At 43.8% G+C, this 16211-nt stretch overlaps 1 protein-coding gene and 1 long non-coding RNA gene across 61 annotated transcripts in view, besides 1 other annotated feature; one reads left to right on the forward strand and one right to left on the reverse strand.

Moving 5' to 3' along the window:
* Positions 1–16211, forward strand: part of PXK (PX domain containing serine/threonine kinase like) — a 93236-nt gene that overhangs the window by 15035 nt on the left and 61990 nt on the right. The window lies entirely within an intron of this gene.
* Positions 1580–1859: an enhancer, noted in NCBI's record as "active region_20010". NCBI's record gives its function as "activates an Ori minimal core promoter by ATAC-STARR-seq in GM12878 lymphoblastoid cells {active_cell/tissue: GM12878}" and the evidence as "EXISTENCE:reporter gene assay evidence [ECO:0000049][PMID:35858748]".
* Positions 4601–6417, reverse strand: LOC105377106 (uncharacterized). The gene is made up of 3 exons (XR_940876.3): positions 6369–6417; positions 5979–6080; positions 4601–5043 (listed from the first exon to the last, which is right to left on the reverse strand). It is a non-coding gene; the product is annotated as an uncharacterized LOC105377106 (long non-coding RNA).

The raw sequence follows: 16211 nt of genomic DNA on the forward strand, positions 1-16211 counted from the left end.
TTTTTGAGACTGAGTCTCACTCTGTTGCCCAGGCTGGAGTGCAGTGGTGTGAAGTTGGCTCACCGCAACCTTCACCTCCCGGGTTCAAGTGATTTTCCTGCCTCCCAAGTAGCTAGGACTACAGGCGCGTGAGACCGTGCCCGGCTAATTTTTGTGTCTTTTCAGTAGAGGTGGGGTTTTGCTATGTTGGCCAGGCTGGTCTTGAACTCTGACCTCAAGTCATCCACCTACCTCTGCCTTCCAAAGTGCTGGGATTACAGGTGTGAGCTGCCGTGCCCAGCTGACTAGTGAACTTTGAATGAAAGAGGTAAGAGTTGGCAGCCATCCCTAAGCTGATCTGTTGTCAGGGCCTACAGAGTGGTGGACCTGATTGATGGCTCCACTAAGCATTGGTTGAAAGAGGACAAGCTAGTGGTCTCCTTCTGAACCACAGAACCAGACAATGATTTGTGTGACCGTTTTCTCAGTTCTTCCATTCTGGCTGCATAGGGATGGAGTTAATTCACTACATACGACAGAGGCCTTAGGGCAGTGCTGTCCAATGGAAGTATAATGCTAGCCACATATGTAACTTTACATTTTCTAGTAGCCATGTTAAAAAAGTAAAAAGAAACAGGTGAAATTAATTTAAATAATATATTTAACCCAATATATCCAAAATATTATAATTTCAACATGGAATCATTATAAAAATTATTACTATGTTAGGTGCAGTGACTAATGCCTGTAATCTCAGCACTTTGGCAGGTTGAGGAGGGAGGATTGCTTGAGGCCAGGAGATCGAGACCAGCCTAAGCAATATAGCAAGATCTAGTCTCTACAAAACTTAAAAAAAAAAAAAAGTCAGGTGTGGTGGCATACCTGTAGTCTCAGCTACTCAGGAGGTTGAGTAGAAGAATCCCTTGAGCCCAGGCAGTGGAGGCTGCAGTGAGCTATGATTGCACCACTGCACTCCAGCCTAGGTAACAGAGTGAGACCCTGTCTGTACTTTTTTTTAATTAATATGTTTTGCATTCCTCTTGTCATAAAAGTATTTGAAATCTGGTGTGTATTTTACAATTACAGCATATCTCAATTGGGACTAGCCACATATCAGATGCTCAGTAGCCACATATTGCTTGTGGCTACTAGGCAGCAGAGATACAGACATTAAAAATATTTGCCAGGCATGGTAGCTCATGCCTGTAGCCCCAGTTACTAGGGAGGCTGAGGTGGGAGGATCACTTGAGCCCAGGAGTTCAAGGCTGCAGTGAGCTATGGTTGTACCACTGCACTCCAGCCTGGGCGACAGAGCCAGACCCCATCTCCAAAAGAAATTAAAAATAAAATCCCAAATGTGTTGTTATGGAGAGAGATCCATGTTATATTAAGTGAGAGAAAAAGCAAGTCATAACACACTATGTTTAGTATGCTTTCATTCTCATAAATATCTTTTTTTTTTTTTTTTGAGACGGAGTCTCACTCTGTCGCCCAGGCTGGAGTGCAGTGATGTGATCTTGGCTCACTGCAACCTCTGCCTCCCCGGTTCAAGCGATTCTCCTGCCTCAGCCTCCTGAGTAGCTGGGATTACAGGCTCCTGCCACCACGCCTGGCTAATTTTTGTATTTTTAGTAGAGACGGGGTTTCACCATGTTGGCCAGGCTGGTCTTGAACTGCTGACCTCAAATGATCTACCCTCCTCGGCTTCCCAAAGAGCTGGGATTACAGGCATGAGCCACAGCACCTGGCCACATTTTCATAAATATCTGTGTTTATACCTGCAAATAAACAGTCTGTAACTGCACACTATCCAGTATTTTAGCCACTAGGCTAATAAAATTAAGCTAAAAATTCAGTCCCTTCGTCACCCTATCCACATTCCAAGAGCTCAGTAGTCCCTTGTGCATAGTGGCTACCATATTGGATATCAAGCCTTAGGTCACTGCTCTCTTCAAACTGCTGAACTGGTTGAGAAAGACTGAGCTTAACGGATAGAACCTGCTAGCCCTGCAGCCATTGGGGTTTTGTGACTACTGAGTCCCAGAGCCTCTGTGGTTTTTAAGAGTAACACACAGGAAGGAAGCTCACTGAGGTGCAACCGTTATTAGTACCTTGGGGAGTTTAACAGGAGCACAGTGTAGAAGCAAAACAGCTTTGTGGAGGACCCTGTTCCGTTTTTGTACAACTGAAATTAACTACTATTCAAATTGCTGAGGATCACATAAACCTGATGTCCACTTTAGGCATGTTCTTATAAAAATGTTCCTTTCGACTGCTTCTTAACTGCCTAATGTACATTATGGGGCTTGCTTAACATTTTGGAGAAAAAATAGTTTCTTACTTGTACATAACTTCTAGGTGGTGCTCACATTACATTCAGCTCCAGCAGTTTGTGTCCATGTAGTAGGAGGTAGGCTGCAAAGTATAGGGGTATTAAAACCAGGTGGTTGTGGTATTCTGAGAGCTCTATTGCTATAGTAACTCATATTCTCCAGGCCCGGGTTCTTGTCCTTACTCTGCCCTTCACCCTGTCAGCTTCCCCCTGACTTGATAGACTGGTTCTGCCTGTCCAGCTGCACTCTGTTCATCAAAATGAGTCCTTGGAGCATGTGAAAGTATTGTGTCCAAGGGCATAGAAGGTAGGAACCGCTGTGCCCCTGGGTCAGACTGGCCTGGGGTGGAGTCTATTCTCATCACATACTAGTGGTGCGCCCTTGTTTAAGGCATCTACCCTCTCTGAGCTTCAGGGTTTTTGTTGTATAAGAGATGTAGTGACGCCTCCCTTCAGACATTGTTGGGAGATGGAGTAAACTGAGGGCTAGAAGGCAGAGAGTAAGTGCCCCATAAGCAGAGCAGTTATACCTCCCTCTCTGAAGATATGTGTCTGCATGGCATGTGTACTGTGGTCACTTCCACAGTTGGTTATGAAATTGGAGCTAGTGTCTCAGGATGACACAGCAACCTTCTCAGAGTAGGAAGGATAGATTTATATGTACGTTATCCTAAGTGATGGTGACCATTATTAAAACCAGTAGGGACTTCTAGCTTGACTTCAGCCTATAGTTTCAAGCTTCTCTCCCACTAAATGCTTTAGCAGCCCTGTTACAAGTAGAAGAGCTCCTTTACTTTACTTTCATCTTCTGTTTTCCCAGTCTCCCCAGCACAGAAAGTACTGATGAGTAGTAAAATGACCAAAAGCTCCCTTGTCAAAGGAAAAAAGGTGCATTTATCATTGATAACATACCAGGCTCTTACCCAAGCTCAGATGATCTCAATCTTTATTACTCAGGATTCCTTATTTAATTTATTTTATTTTTCCAAGAAAGGGTCTCACTCTATCGCCCAGGCTGGAGTGCAGTGGTGCAATCACGGCTCACGGCAGCCTCCATCTCCCTGGGCTTAAATGATCCTTCTTGGGCTTCAGTGATCCACCCGCCTCAGCCCCCCAAATAGCTGAGACTACAGGTGTGCGCCACCACAGCTAGCTATTTGTGTGTGTGTGTGTGTGTGTGTGTGTGTGTGTGTGTGTATTTTTTGTAGAGACAGGGTTTCACCATGTTGCCCAGGCTGGTCTTGAACTCCTGGGCTCATGCAATCCACCTGCCTCATCCTCCCAAAGTGCTGAGATTACAGGTGTGAGCCACCGTGCCTGGCCAGGATTTCTTATTTTAAAGTATCATGTTTTAAATTACATGTGTAGCAAACTGAGAAACTTTTCCAAAAATTGTTTTTCCTGATTGTAAAAATAATTTATGCTCATTGAGGATAACCTGAAAAACGTAGGAAAAAAAAAATAGCCAAAAGTGGGCATAGAATCTAGGACAACAGAGGCTGGAGTCATGGTACTCCTTCTTAGAAATCAGAGACTGATACAATTGTTTCTCATATTTAAAGAGAATGGCTGCTTTTTGTTTTTTCTGGGTGCTCTTCACAGTGCTGCCACCGTCTTCTGTGCTTGCTGATTAGAGTCGTGATATACTCACCTGCAGACACTTTGTGTTTGCTATTTTCTTAGCAGGGAAGAAAACAGTTACAAAGCTGGCCATTGTGCTGGCTGCTCTAAATATACTGTCTTCTTTCATATTCACCATGACTCTGAAGGTGTGATTTAGCAGGTGAGGAAACTGAAGCACAGAGAAGTTAGGCTGCAAAGCTAATAAGCAGTCGTTGGGCTTCGTTCCAGATCTCTGTGACTGGAAAATGTGTGCCCTCCCCTGCTGGGGACTTGTGGCTGTGCTATGGAGGAGGGATGGCACATTGTGGCTGATCATGACACAGTGACCAGCTCCTCCTTCAGGTTCCAGAAGGGCTCCCAGGGGGCCTGTCTTTGAGGCAGTGGAAAAGGGGGAAGGTAGAGGAGACATGGCCCAGGAGGGAGCGCTTCAGTCTCCAGCAGGTACTCAGGTCAGTGCCAGTGAAGGGCGTGAGGGATGAGGAGCTGGCCACCTCAGATACCAGAGCCCAAAGAAAAAGCATCATTTCCAGCGGATCCGAGTTTCTATGTTGTTGTCTATTCTAGCCTACTAAACATGTAGTGGGTAGTTCTCTGAGATCATGTTCACTTCATCCATTTGTAGAGTTTTAGGACATTGTGAGGATTATTGAACAAGTGAAAGTTATATTTCGTTTTTAATTACTATTTAATTGAGCTTCAGATTTTTAAAGTTTGGTATTTTTTTTCTTTACTTTGATGTAAGATGGAATTACTGGGTTTCCATTTTAGCAAATTATGTAATTTGCGTGGGTGTCATTTAAGGGTCATTATACTATAGAATGCTGCAGGAAGTGGCTATTTAAAAAGCTGTATCCATTCTGTAGTCATGTTTGAGGTCAAAAGGATTTTGGAGTGCTTCTTTGCAGTGTTTTTCTTCTCTGGAACATCAGCTGTCTTTGAAGTCGGTGTGGAGACCAGCTCTCCTGGTAGGGCAGGAGACCATCCCACAGCGGAGAGTGTAGACTTCAAAAGGCCCGGAGAAGGGAGAAGAGAAGCATGCATGATCATGACGCTCATCTCACTGCAGGGATCAAAGCGTGTTTGCAATGTGTGCTTCATCTCTTCTTTTGCTAAAGTTAAAGCACATGATTCTATGAATTAGATTTTTTTTTTTTGAGACAGAGTCTTGCTCTGTCACCCAGGCTGGAGTGCAGTGGTGCGATCTCGGCTCACTGCAAGCTCCGCCTCCCGGATTCACGCCGTTCTCCTGCCTCAGCCTCCCGAATAGCTGGGACTACAGGCGCCCGCCACCACGCCCGGCTAATTTTTTGTATTTTTTAGTAGAGACAGGGTTTCACCGTGTTAGCCAGAATGGTCTTGATCTCCTGACCTCGTGATCCGCCCGCCTCGGCCTCCCAAAGTGCTGGGATTACAGACATGAGCCACTGTGCCCGGTCTCTATGAATTAGATTTTTAAACAAAATTTATTTCATGTGGCTGAAAAGAAGATGCGTTTGGCTTTATTCATCTGCCAAAATTTAGGTTAATACGGTAATGATTCTTCAGATGCCTTTAAAAACCCTTAACATTTTCATTTGTTTTGGGGCAGTTTTTGCATATTATTAGATTGCAGAAAAATTGAAACAAAACAAAGGTAGGTTCTAGCACTGAAAATCTGCAGATGAAACGACAGTAAATAATGACTACTTAGCAGAGCAAGGAGTAATCACTAATTCTAAGTGAAATATTAAGGACTGTAAGTGGCCAGGCAGGTGGCCAGTGAGCTAAGCAGAAGTCCTGCAAGCTGAATTCTATGAGAATTTCCTCAGAAACCTTGCTGTCCTCTAGGATGATGTGGACTGCTGCCTATGGCTGCAGCTGTTGTGCTGTGTGACACTGTGATTTTGAATAGGTAGAACAGCGAAAAGAGGGGCATAAGTAAGGGATATTTAGGTTATAAACAGTCTGACTGGGTAGAGGAGGGTTTGCATGGGAAGAAAGGGTTAGGACAGTTTGGTCAGGTGGTAGAAGAATTTGGAAGCTAGGCTGAGGAATTTGGATTTACCCTGTGAGCCAGTGGGAGCCATGGAAGGTCCTGGAGCAGAGAAGTAGCGTGGTGGTAGATTCCAGCCAGGTCACTTGTTTTCAGCATTCTTTTCAGGCCTTCCTATGAAGAGAAAGTGCCAGGGGAGAAGTGAGTTTCGGAGTGAACCCAGAGGGGTGGTGTGGCTGATGGGCACTGGAGACAAACAGGCCTGCCTCCTCTCCCAGATCCACCACTTTCTAGTCAAGGCATCTATCCTTCAGAGACTCATTTCCTCCAGCAGAGGGAAATAGTTCTTTCTTGCTCCTTTAAACGGCATTGGCAGATAGTGTGAGTGGTGCCTATGGGAGCCACCACTACAGAGCCCAGTGTGAGGGATTTCTAGAGGCTCAGGTTAGATACCAACCGTACCCCCAAAAAGACAGACGAGCTGAGTCCTTAAGAGGAGGTGGGGAGATATGGGTGAGAGTAGAGGAGATTATGAGGTTTGGTTGGTGGTTGCGTCATCTGTTTCCTTCCACTCATGCAAGGTTTTTTATTTTTGTGGTGTGGAGCTGCTTCCTAGTTTTTTTTTTTTTTTTGAGACTGAGTCTCTCACTCTGTCACAGGCTGGAGTGCAGTGGCCTGATCTCAGCTCACTGCAACCTCCACCTCCTAGGTTCAAGCGATTCTCCTGCCTCAGCCTCCTGAGTAGCTGGGATTACAGGCGCCCACCATCGTGCCTGGCTAATTTTTTTGTATCTTCAGTAGAGATGGGGGTTTCATCATGTTGGCCAGGTTGGTCTCGAACTCCTGACCTTGTGAATCGCCCACCTCGGCCTCCCAAAGTGCTGGGATTACAAGCATGAGCCACCGCGCCTGGCCCGATTTCTTTAAGAGGTTTAGAACAATGGTTCTCACCCCTGGCTGCACATTAGTATCAACTGAGGAACATTTAAGACCTGCTGGCCAGGTGTGGTGGCAGTGGCTCGCGCTTGTAATCCCAACACTTTTGGAGACTGAGGCAGGTGGGATCACCTGAGGTCAGGAGTTCGAGACCATCCTGGCCAACATGGTAAAATCCCGTCTCTACTAAAATTGCAAAAATTAGCCAAGCATGGTGGTGTGCGCCTGTAGTCGCAGCTACTTGGGAGGCTGAGGTACGAGAATCGCTTGAACCTGGGAGACAGAGGCAGAGGTTACAGTGAGCCAAGATTGTGAATTTTACTCCAGCCTGGGCAACAAAGTGAGACTCTGTCTCAAAGAAAAGGAAAAAAAAAAAAAGAAAAAACAGAAGACCCGCTAATGCCTGTGCCCAGGCCAGACAAATTAAATCAGAATCTGTGAGGGCACAAGTGTAGGTATCTTTTCAAGTTCTCTAGGTGATTCTAGAATGCAGCAGGGTTGAGATGCTCTGCCTTAGGGGTAGAGAGGTGGGAACACTGACAGGTTCTGCAAAACATCTCTGAACAGCTGCTGGTGTCTTTTTCTGTACTTCAAGTTTCACGGCACATCTGATAGCTGTGCCGAAAGGGAAGAGAGAATTACGTGGGCTAGGCTGGTTTGAAGGTTTGCGTAAGTTTTGGCTTGAGCGACTTAACACGTTTATTTCAAAGTAATTTGTGTTTGTAGCCTCACTAAAGTAATTTGGGGCCAGAAAGGTTCAAAATACGTTTTCCTACTTAGTTTTCCTAAAATTTCACCAAACCGAGGTACCTTTGAGTACCTACTACTGTGCAGTGAAATCCCACATACCCTTTCAGAAACTCAGGAAAACAAATTGCAAATGGGGATGCTTACTTGGAAAATGGCACGGCCAGTGTTGGGAGCATTAATCAATTCCAAAGGTGTGGGAATAACAGCCCCCACCTCTGCACCCTCAGGTAAGAGTCAGTGGGTCTACATCATTGGGGTGAACCAGCTCAGTCCATGGACTAGTGAGGACTCCCACCTTTCCAAATTGCAGAAAGAGCCTGGCCTCAGGACTTCCCCGGGTTGCCAGCTATGTCTGGCAGGTTGGAGGGTCTTGGGAGTCAGCAGGACTTGGGTTCCAGTTCCCAGCCAGCTGCATCCTAGCTATGCCACCTTGGATAGCTCATTCGATCTCGCTGAGCTGAGATCTACCACCTAGGGTGGCTGTGAGGATTAATGAGAAGTATTGGGTTAGGGGCTTAGCAAAATTCCCAGCACATGATCAGTACTGGTTTTAAGTTAATTATCTCTTTTCCTCCCTCACTTAAGTCAGAAATCACGTGGTCCTGGTGCAAGTGCATTTCCAGTTTGAAAAACTTCAGCACCAGACCTCAGTGATTTGCCAGAATGCCCACATGCTAGGGCTTGACACAGCAGCCTCCCTGGCATGCCAAGATAGGGGGTGTTGTGTCAAGAGGAGGGGCAGAAAGGAGTGGGCCCTTTGGGGAAGTGGCAGCAGATGGCAGGGTTTGGTGGCAGGCTGAAATCCGTCTGACTCAGGTCTGCCCTGCAGGGCTGTTAGCTCTCCTTTCCATGCCTGATGGGCCTTGGTGCTTTATCTTCTCTTTTATGTACTCTGTCGATCCTGTTCCACATCGGAGAGGGCAGTAAAGATGGGAATGATTCATTGGAGGATCCCAGGCTGCTGACTCCAGCTCAGGAGGTAGAGGCCTGACTTCAAATGTCGAGTTTCTGCTGGTCTCCAGGGCTCTCTTCTCTTTACTTTAATAAGAGCTACAGCTTGGTTGCAAGCAGTAGGCAGCTGTGTTTTTTTTTTCTTTTTTTTTGAGACGGAGTCTTGCTCTGTTGCCAAGGCTGGAGTGCAGTGGTGCAATCTCGGCTCACCACAACCTCCGCCTCCTGGGTTCAAGTGATCCTCCTGCCTAAGCCTCCCATGTAGCTGGGACTACAGATGCGTACCTCCATGCCCGGCTAATTTTTGTATTTTTAGTAGAGACGGGGTTTCACTATGTTGGCCAGGCTGGTCTTGAACGCCTGACCTTGTGATCCACCTTCCTCAGCCTCCAAAGTGCTGGGATTAGAGGCGTGAGCCACTGCGCCCGGCCTCTTTTTTTTTTTTTGTTCACAGCATTGGAAACTTGAGGTGAAAACAGTTCCCTTTTGATTAGGCTGGTTGGTATATCGAGCAATCTAGAAAACTTCAGGCTGGGCGCGGTGGCTCACACCTGTAATCCCAGCACTTTGGGAGGCTGAGGCAGGCAGATCATGAGGTCAAGAGATGGAGACCATTCTGGCCAACATGGTGAAACCCCGTCTCTACTAAAAATACAAAAATTAGCCGGGCGTGGCGGCACACGCCTGTAGTCCCAGCTACGTGGGAGGCTGAGGCAGGAGAATCATTTGAACCTGGGAGGCAGAGGTTGCAGTGAGCCGAGATTGTGCGACTGCACTCCAGCCTGGGCAACAGAGCGAGACTCTGTCTCAAAAAAAAAAAACAAAAACTAAGACATAAACACACACATTAGCCTGGGCCTACACAGTATCAAGATCATCAGTATGACTGTCTTCCACTTCCACATCCTGTCCCACTGGAAGGTCTTCTGGGGCAATAACACACATGGAGCTCTCCTATGATAGCAATGCCTTCTGGACACCTCCTGAAGGACCTGTCTGAGGCTGTTTTACAGTTACCTTTCATTTCTAAGTAGAAGGAGTATACTCTGAAATAACTATAAAAAGCAGTAGGTTTATTTACACCACCATACTACAAACACATGAGTAATCCATTGCGCTATAATGTTAAGACATCTGTGATGTCACTAGGCAATAGAAATGTTTTTAGCTCCATTATAATCTTATTAGACCTTGGCCAGGCGTTGTGGCTGACACCTATATGTAATCCTAGCACTTTGGGAGGCCAAGGTGGGCGGATCACTTTGAGGTAAGGAGTTACAGACCAGCCTGGCAAACATGGTGAAACCCCATCTCTACTAAAAATACAAAAATTAGCCTGGCTTGGTGGTGGGCACCTGTAATCCCAGCTACTTGGGAAGCTGAGGCAGGAGAATTATATGAACCCGGGAAGCAGAGGTTGCAGTGAAGTGAGATCATGCCACTGCATGCCACTGCATGTCACTCCAGCCTGGGTGACAAAGTGAGACTCTGTCTCAAAACAAAAAAACAAAAAAACAAAAAAACCAAGAAAGAAAACCTAATCTTACTGGACCATCATGATATTTGTGGTCTGTTGTGACTGAAATGTCATTATGCAGTGCATAACTATATATACTTTGTGGAATAATTGAATCAAGCCAATGAACATATTATCACTTCATGTAGTTATCATTTCTTTGTGGTGAGAACATTTAAAATCCACTGTTTTAGTCATTTTGATATATGCATTATTATTGACTACAATCACCATGGTGTGCAGTAGATCACCACAGCATATTCTTCGTGTCTTACTTGAAACCTTCCACCAGCATCATCTCTTTCTTGGTCTACTCCCACTGCCACCCTGTGGTAACCACCATCCTACTCTACTTCTGGAGGCTCATTCTTAATGTTCCTTTACAGGGGAAATACAATGGGTATGGGTGGTGCCTTGGGGCTACCAGTAACTAAGCGCACCCTGTAGGTAGACATGCACATGCTACAAATGGTGTTGCATGTAGGATAGCAGTGGGCCACGGTCCAGGGCAGGTGACAGCAGAAGTAACTCCCACTCCATCCTGTATCCCAAGCCTCCATGGGCTGGTGTGACCTCTTCTACTCACCTGATCCCCAGTTTCTCAACCTTGGTACTTTGACATTTGGGGTCAGATGGCTCTTTGTTGTGGGGGTCTCCTGTGCATTACAGGACATTTAGCAGCATTCCTGGCCACTACCTATTAGGTAGCACTCCTGTCCCCTGTGACAACCTAAAATGTTTCCAGGCATTACCAGATGTCTGCTGAGCAGAATCACCCCCGCTTTTAAGAACACTGACCTAAACATAGAGTGTCTTGGCAGAAACATTAACTAGGATATCATTTTGGGATGTCACAGCCTGACATCAGGACGCAGGCATTGTCTTGCTGCTACTGCTTCCCATATGCCAAATGCTTTCCCCAAACATTATTGCTTGTTTTAAAGCCAAGTTTATTTTTTTAATCTAAATTATATCTATACACAGGAAAGGAATGGAATGCAGTACCTTTTTCGTCAGAATGCACTTTTCTGTTGAGAATCATTTCCCCAGCATGAACAAAGCACGGGTTTGGAACGTGATAGGTGCTTAGTCCATGCTCACAATTGGCAGCAACATCTTCATAAAAACACATGTCCAAACTTTAAACTCAAAGCTATGTAGTTTATATGTGTTTATATAAAGGAGACCAGCAAATGCTTACTTAGTAGCTTCTAAGTGCCCAACATTGAGCTGGAATTTTAAACATTAAAATTATTCCTCTGATGGCCAGGCGCAGTGGCTCACGCCTGGAATCCCAGCACTTTGGGAGGGCGAGGTGGGCAGATCACGAGGTCAGGAGATCGAGACCATCCTGACCAACATGGTGAAACCCCCTCTCTACTGAAAATACAAAAATTAGCCAGGCATGGTGGTGCGTGCCTGTAAATCCCAGCTACTCGGGAGGCTGAGGTGGGAGAATCGCTTGAACTAGGGAGTCAGAGGTTGCAGTGAGCCGAGATCGCGCCACTGCACTCCAGCCTGGCCACAGAGTGAGACTCTGTCTCAAAAAAAAAAAAAAAGAAAAAAAATTATTCCTCTGATACATGAAGCAATCGATGCGCAAAGTGATTTTTGTGATTTAACATTTTTTCCCTCTAGACATAAAAAAAACATGTTTATGTGTAGTTGTTTGGAGTTATCCAATTATACATGCCAATTTACATTTCTATAAGAATGTAAAAGCCAAGAAAATGTGTCAGTAAAACGAACCTAAGTTGACAAGAACATTTAAATGCTAAAGGACTGATCTCCAAATGTAAGACTGTCAGTTGTTTTTAGCATTTTATCTTTATGTATTCAGAAATAATTGCATTAGCTTATTGCTTAAGAGATTTGCCTGAGGCTGGGCATGGTAGCTCATGCCTATAATCCCAGCACTTTGGGAGGCTGAGACAGAAGAATTGCTGGAGGCCAGGAGTTCGAGACCAGCCTGAGCAACATACTGAGACCCCGTTTCTACAAAAAATTTAAAAATTAGCTGGAGTTGGTGGAGCGCACCTGTAGTCCTAGCCACTCAGGAGGCTGAGGTGGGAGGACTGCTTGAGCCCAGGAGGTCGAGGCCGCATGCCATTGTACTCTAGCGTGGATGACAGAGTAACACCTTATCTTTAAAAAAAAATAGAGGGAGAGATTTGTCACACTACACAAGTCAGTTTTGAAATGTTTTATAACCCCATATAAAACCATGCCAAGTACATAATAATTGAGCGGATATTGTTGAACGTTGAATGTACCATCCTTAACATAATCCAGGAGAGGCAGAAGTTCCTGCTTATTTGGAATTTATCAGTCTTTGCCAAATAAACAGCATATAAATGAATGATAGTGTAATACGATCAATTTTAAAATGTAGTTACCAGGTTAACGTCTCATTTGGCTTTATTTTCTAAATAACCTATTTAAATCAGTGGAATCAATTCAGTAGAAAGGATTTGTTGAGTAGTGACCGTGAGTAATGCCTATATGATACCACTCAAAGTTAGTAAAACAGGCTGGGCGCAGTGGCTCATACCTGTAATCCCAGCTCCAGGCTGGGCACAGTGGCTCATACCTATAATCCCACCTGTAATCCCAGGGTGGGCAGATCACTTGAGTCCAGGAGTTTGAGACCAGCCTGGGCAACATGGTGAAACACCGTCTCTACAAAAAATACAAAAATTAGCCGAGGGTGGTGGTGCATGCCTGTGGTCCCAGCTACTTGGGAGGTTGAGGCAGGAGGATTGCTTGAACCCGGGAGGTGGAGGTTACAGTGAGCTGAGATTGCACCATTGCACTCCAACCTAGGCAACAAAGTGAGACCCCGACTGAAAAAAAAAAAAAAAGTTAATAAAACAGTTCTGAACATTTGAGGAAACAATAACATTCTTTATGATTTAATTTATACTTTCATCATAATGTCCTGTGTGTATAAACTGGAGGCTGCTCTAGGTCTGTGTTTCATGCTTGCTTAATAATTATTACCTGGGGAAGCTATTAAAACTTCTCATTTTGGCCGGGCGCGGTGGTTCACGCCTGTAATCCTGGCACTTTGGGAGGCTGAGGTGGGCGGATCACCTGAGGTCAGGAGTTAGAGACCAGCCGGGCCAAGGTGGCGAAACCCCGTCTCTACTAAAAATACAAAAATTAGCCAGAATGTTGGCGCGCACCTGTAATCCCAGCTACTCGAGAGGCTGAGGCAGGAGAATCACTTGAACCCGGGAGGCGGAGGTTGTAGTGAGCTGAGATTGTACCACTGCACTCCAGCCTGGGTGACAGAGCAAGACTCTGTCTCAAAAAAAAAAAAAAAAAAAAAAAATGCAGAGAGATCCCATATACCCTTTACTCAATTTTCTCCAATGGTAACATCTTGCAAACCTATAGTACAATATTATAACCAGGATATTGACAGTGATACAGTCACGATAGAGAACACTTCCATTATTGCGAGCATTCCTCACTTTGCCCTTCTGTAGCTACACTGCTTCCCTCTGACGCCCATCTCACTACCACAGCCTTAACTCCAGGTAACCATTAATCTGTTCTCCATCTCTATAATTTTGTCACTTCAAGAATGTTATATAAATAGAATTGTACAGTATATAACCTTTCAAGATTGCTTTTTTTTCCACTCAGCATGATTCTCTGGAGATCCATCCAAGTTATTGTGTATATTAATAGTTCATTTCTTTTTTTGCTTGAGTAGTATTTCATGGTATGGATATAGCAGAATTTAACCACCTATTGAAGGACATCTATCTTGTTTCCACTTTGAGGCTTTTACTGATAAAGTTGCTATGAACATTTGTGTATAAATTCTTATGTGAATATAAGTTTTCATTTCTTTGGAATAAATGTCTAGGAATACAGTTGCTGGGTTGTATGGTAGTTGCATATATAGTTTTTAAAGAAACTTCCAAACTGTTCTGGAGTAGTTATACCATTTTATAGTCCCATCTGCAATGTATGAGTGATCCAGTTTTTTTGTATCCTAGCCAGGATTTGGTGTTATTACTGTTTTTTATTTAAGCCATTCTGATAGGTGTATAGTGGCCTTAATTTGCATTTCCCTGAGGGCTAGTAATGTTGAATATATTTTCATGTATGCCATCTGTATATCCTCTTCAGTGAAATGTATTCTTATTATTTGCCCATTTTCTAATTGGATTTTTAAAAAATGTTTGTTCTTTCATAGAAAAATGTTTTTAATTTTGATGAAGTCCAATTTTTCCCTTACATAGATCATGCTTTTGCTGTCAAGAACTTGTTGCCTAAACCTGGATCCCAGATTTTTCTCTCCTATTTTTTTTCCTAAAAGTCTTACAGTTTTACATTTTACATTTAAGTACATAATTCATTTTGGTAGTACAATGTGTGAATACAATGCCTGAATCTTAGGTTGAGGTTCATTTCATTGCTGAGTGTCCAATTGCTCTGACACGTGAAAGTAATACAACACATGAATCTTAGGTTGAGGTTCATTTCATTGCTGAGTGTCCAATTGCTCTGGCATCATTTGTTGAAAAGGCTATCATTCCTCTATTGAATTGCCTTTGCACTTTCATCAAAAATTTAATTAGGCATACTTATATGGAATTATTTCTGGGTTCTCTGTTGTCTTCCAGTGACGTATATGTTTATGCCTCCACCAACACTACACAGTCTTGATTACTGTATTGATGTAATAGTCTTGACATCAGGTAGACTGAGTCCTCATACTTTATTTATTTAGAGACAAGGTCTTGCTCTCTTGCCCAGGCTGGAGTGCAGTGGCATGATCTTGGCTCACTGCAGCTTCAGCCTCCCAGGCTCAAGCAATTCTCCTTCCTCAGCTTCCTGAGTAGCTGGGACTACAAGTGCGTACCACCATGCCCGGCTAATTAATTTTTTTATATTTTGTAGAGATGGAGTTTCACCATGTTGCCCAGGTTGGTTGAACTCCTGAGCTCAAGTGATCCTCCCGCCTTGGCCTCCCCAAATGCTCAGATTATAGTCATGAGCCGCTGACTTGGCCCCATCTACATTTTAGAATAATCTTGACTATATTTGGAAAAAAAACTTTTAATAGGATTTGTTTTAAACATGTATATCAATTTAGGGATAATTGAAATCTTTATTTCTATTCGTTTATTCAGAGCTTTGATTTCTGTTATCAGTGGTTTGTAGTTTTCGACATACAAGTACTGTGCATGTTTTAGATTTCCCTCCAAGTATTTTTTTTTGAGTAATTGTAAATGGTATTGTATTTCTAATTTATACCTATATATGTTCATTTCTAGTATATAGATACACAACTGATATTTGTATACTTGTATTCTGTGGCCTTGTTGAACTCAATTAATTAATTAATGACTGGGTCTCTCTCTTTTGCCAAGGCTGGAGTGCGGGTGCCAACATGGCTCACGGCAGTCATGACCTTCCGGGCTCAAGCATTCCCTCTGCCTCCTGAGTAGCTGGGACTACAGGCATGTGCCACTATGCCTGGCTAATTTTTTTATTTTTGTAGAGACGAGGTCTTGCTGTTTTGCCTGGGCTAGTCTTAAACTCCTGGACTCAAGCAGTCATCCCACCTCAGCCTGCTAAAGTGCTGAGATTACAGGCATGAGCCGCTGAGTCTGGCCTAAGAATTTATTAATTCCAGTTTTTTTGTAGATCCCTTGGGATTTTCTACATAGACTATCATGTTGCCTAAAAATACGAACAGTTTTATTTCTTCCTTTTGATCTATATGCCGTTTATTTCTTTTCCTATTTTTATTACACTGGCTAGATCTTCCAGTAGTTTGTTGAGTAGGAGAACACACTGCCTTGCCTTGTTCCTGATCTTAGGGGAAAATACTGAGTCTTCCACCATTAAGTATGTCAGCTGTAGGTTTTTTGTAGAACTTTTTCATCAACTTAAGAAAGTGTCCTCTATTCCTATTTTTCTAAAATTTTTTATCATGAAAGGATGTTGAGTTTTGCCAGATGCTTTTTCTGCATCATTTGATACGATCACATGATTTTTCTTGATTAGCCTGTTAATATGGCAGATTACATCGATCAGTTTCTGAATGGTGAACCAGCCTTGAGTCCCTAGAATGAGACCCACTTGGTCATGGTATATAATTCTTTTTATAAATTGCTGAATTCAATTTA

The sequence above is a fragment of the Homo sapiens genome, chromosome 3, assembly GCF_000001405.40.
Source record: "Homo sapiens chromosome 3, GRCh38.p14 Primary Assembly".
NCBI classification, from domain to species: Eukaryota; Metazoa; Chordata; class Mammalia; order Primates; family Hominidae; genus Homo; species Homo sapiens.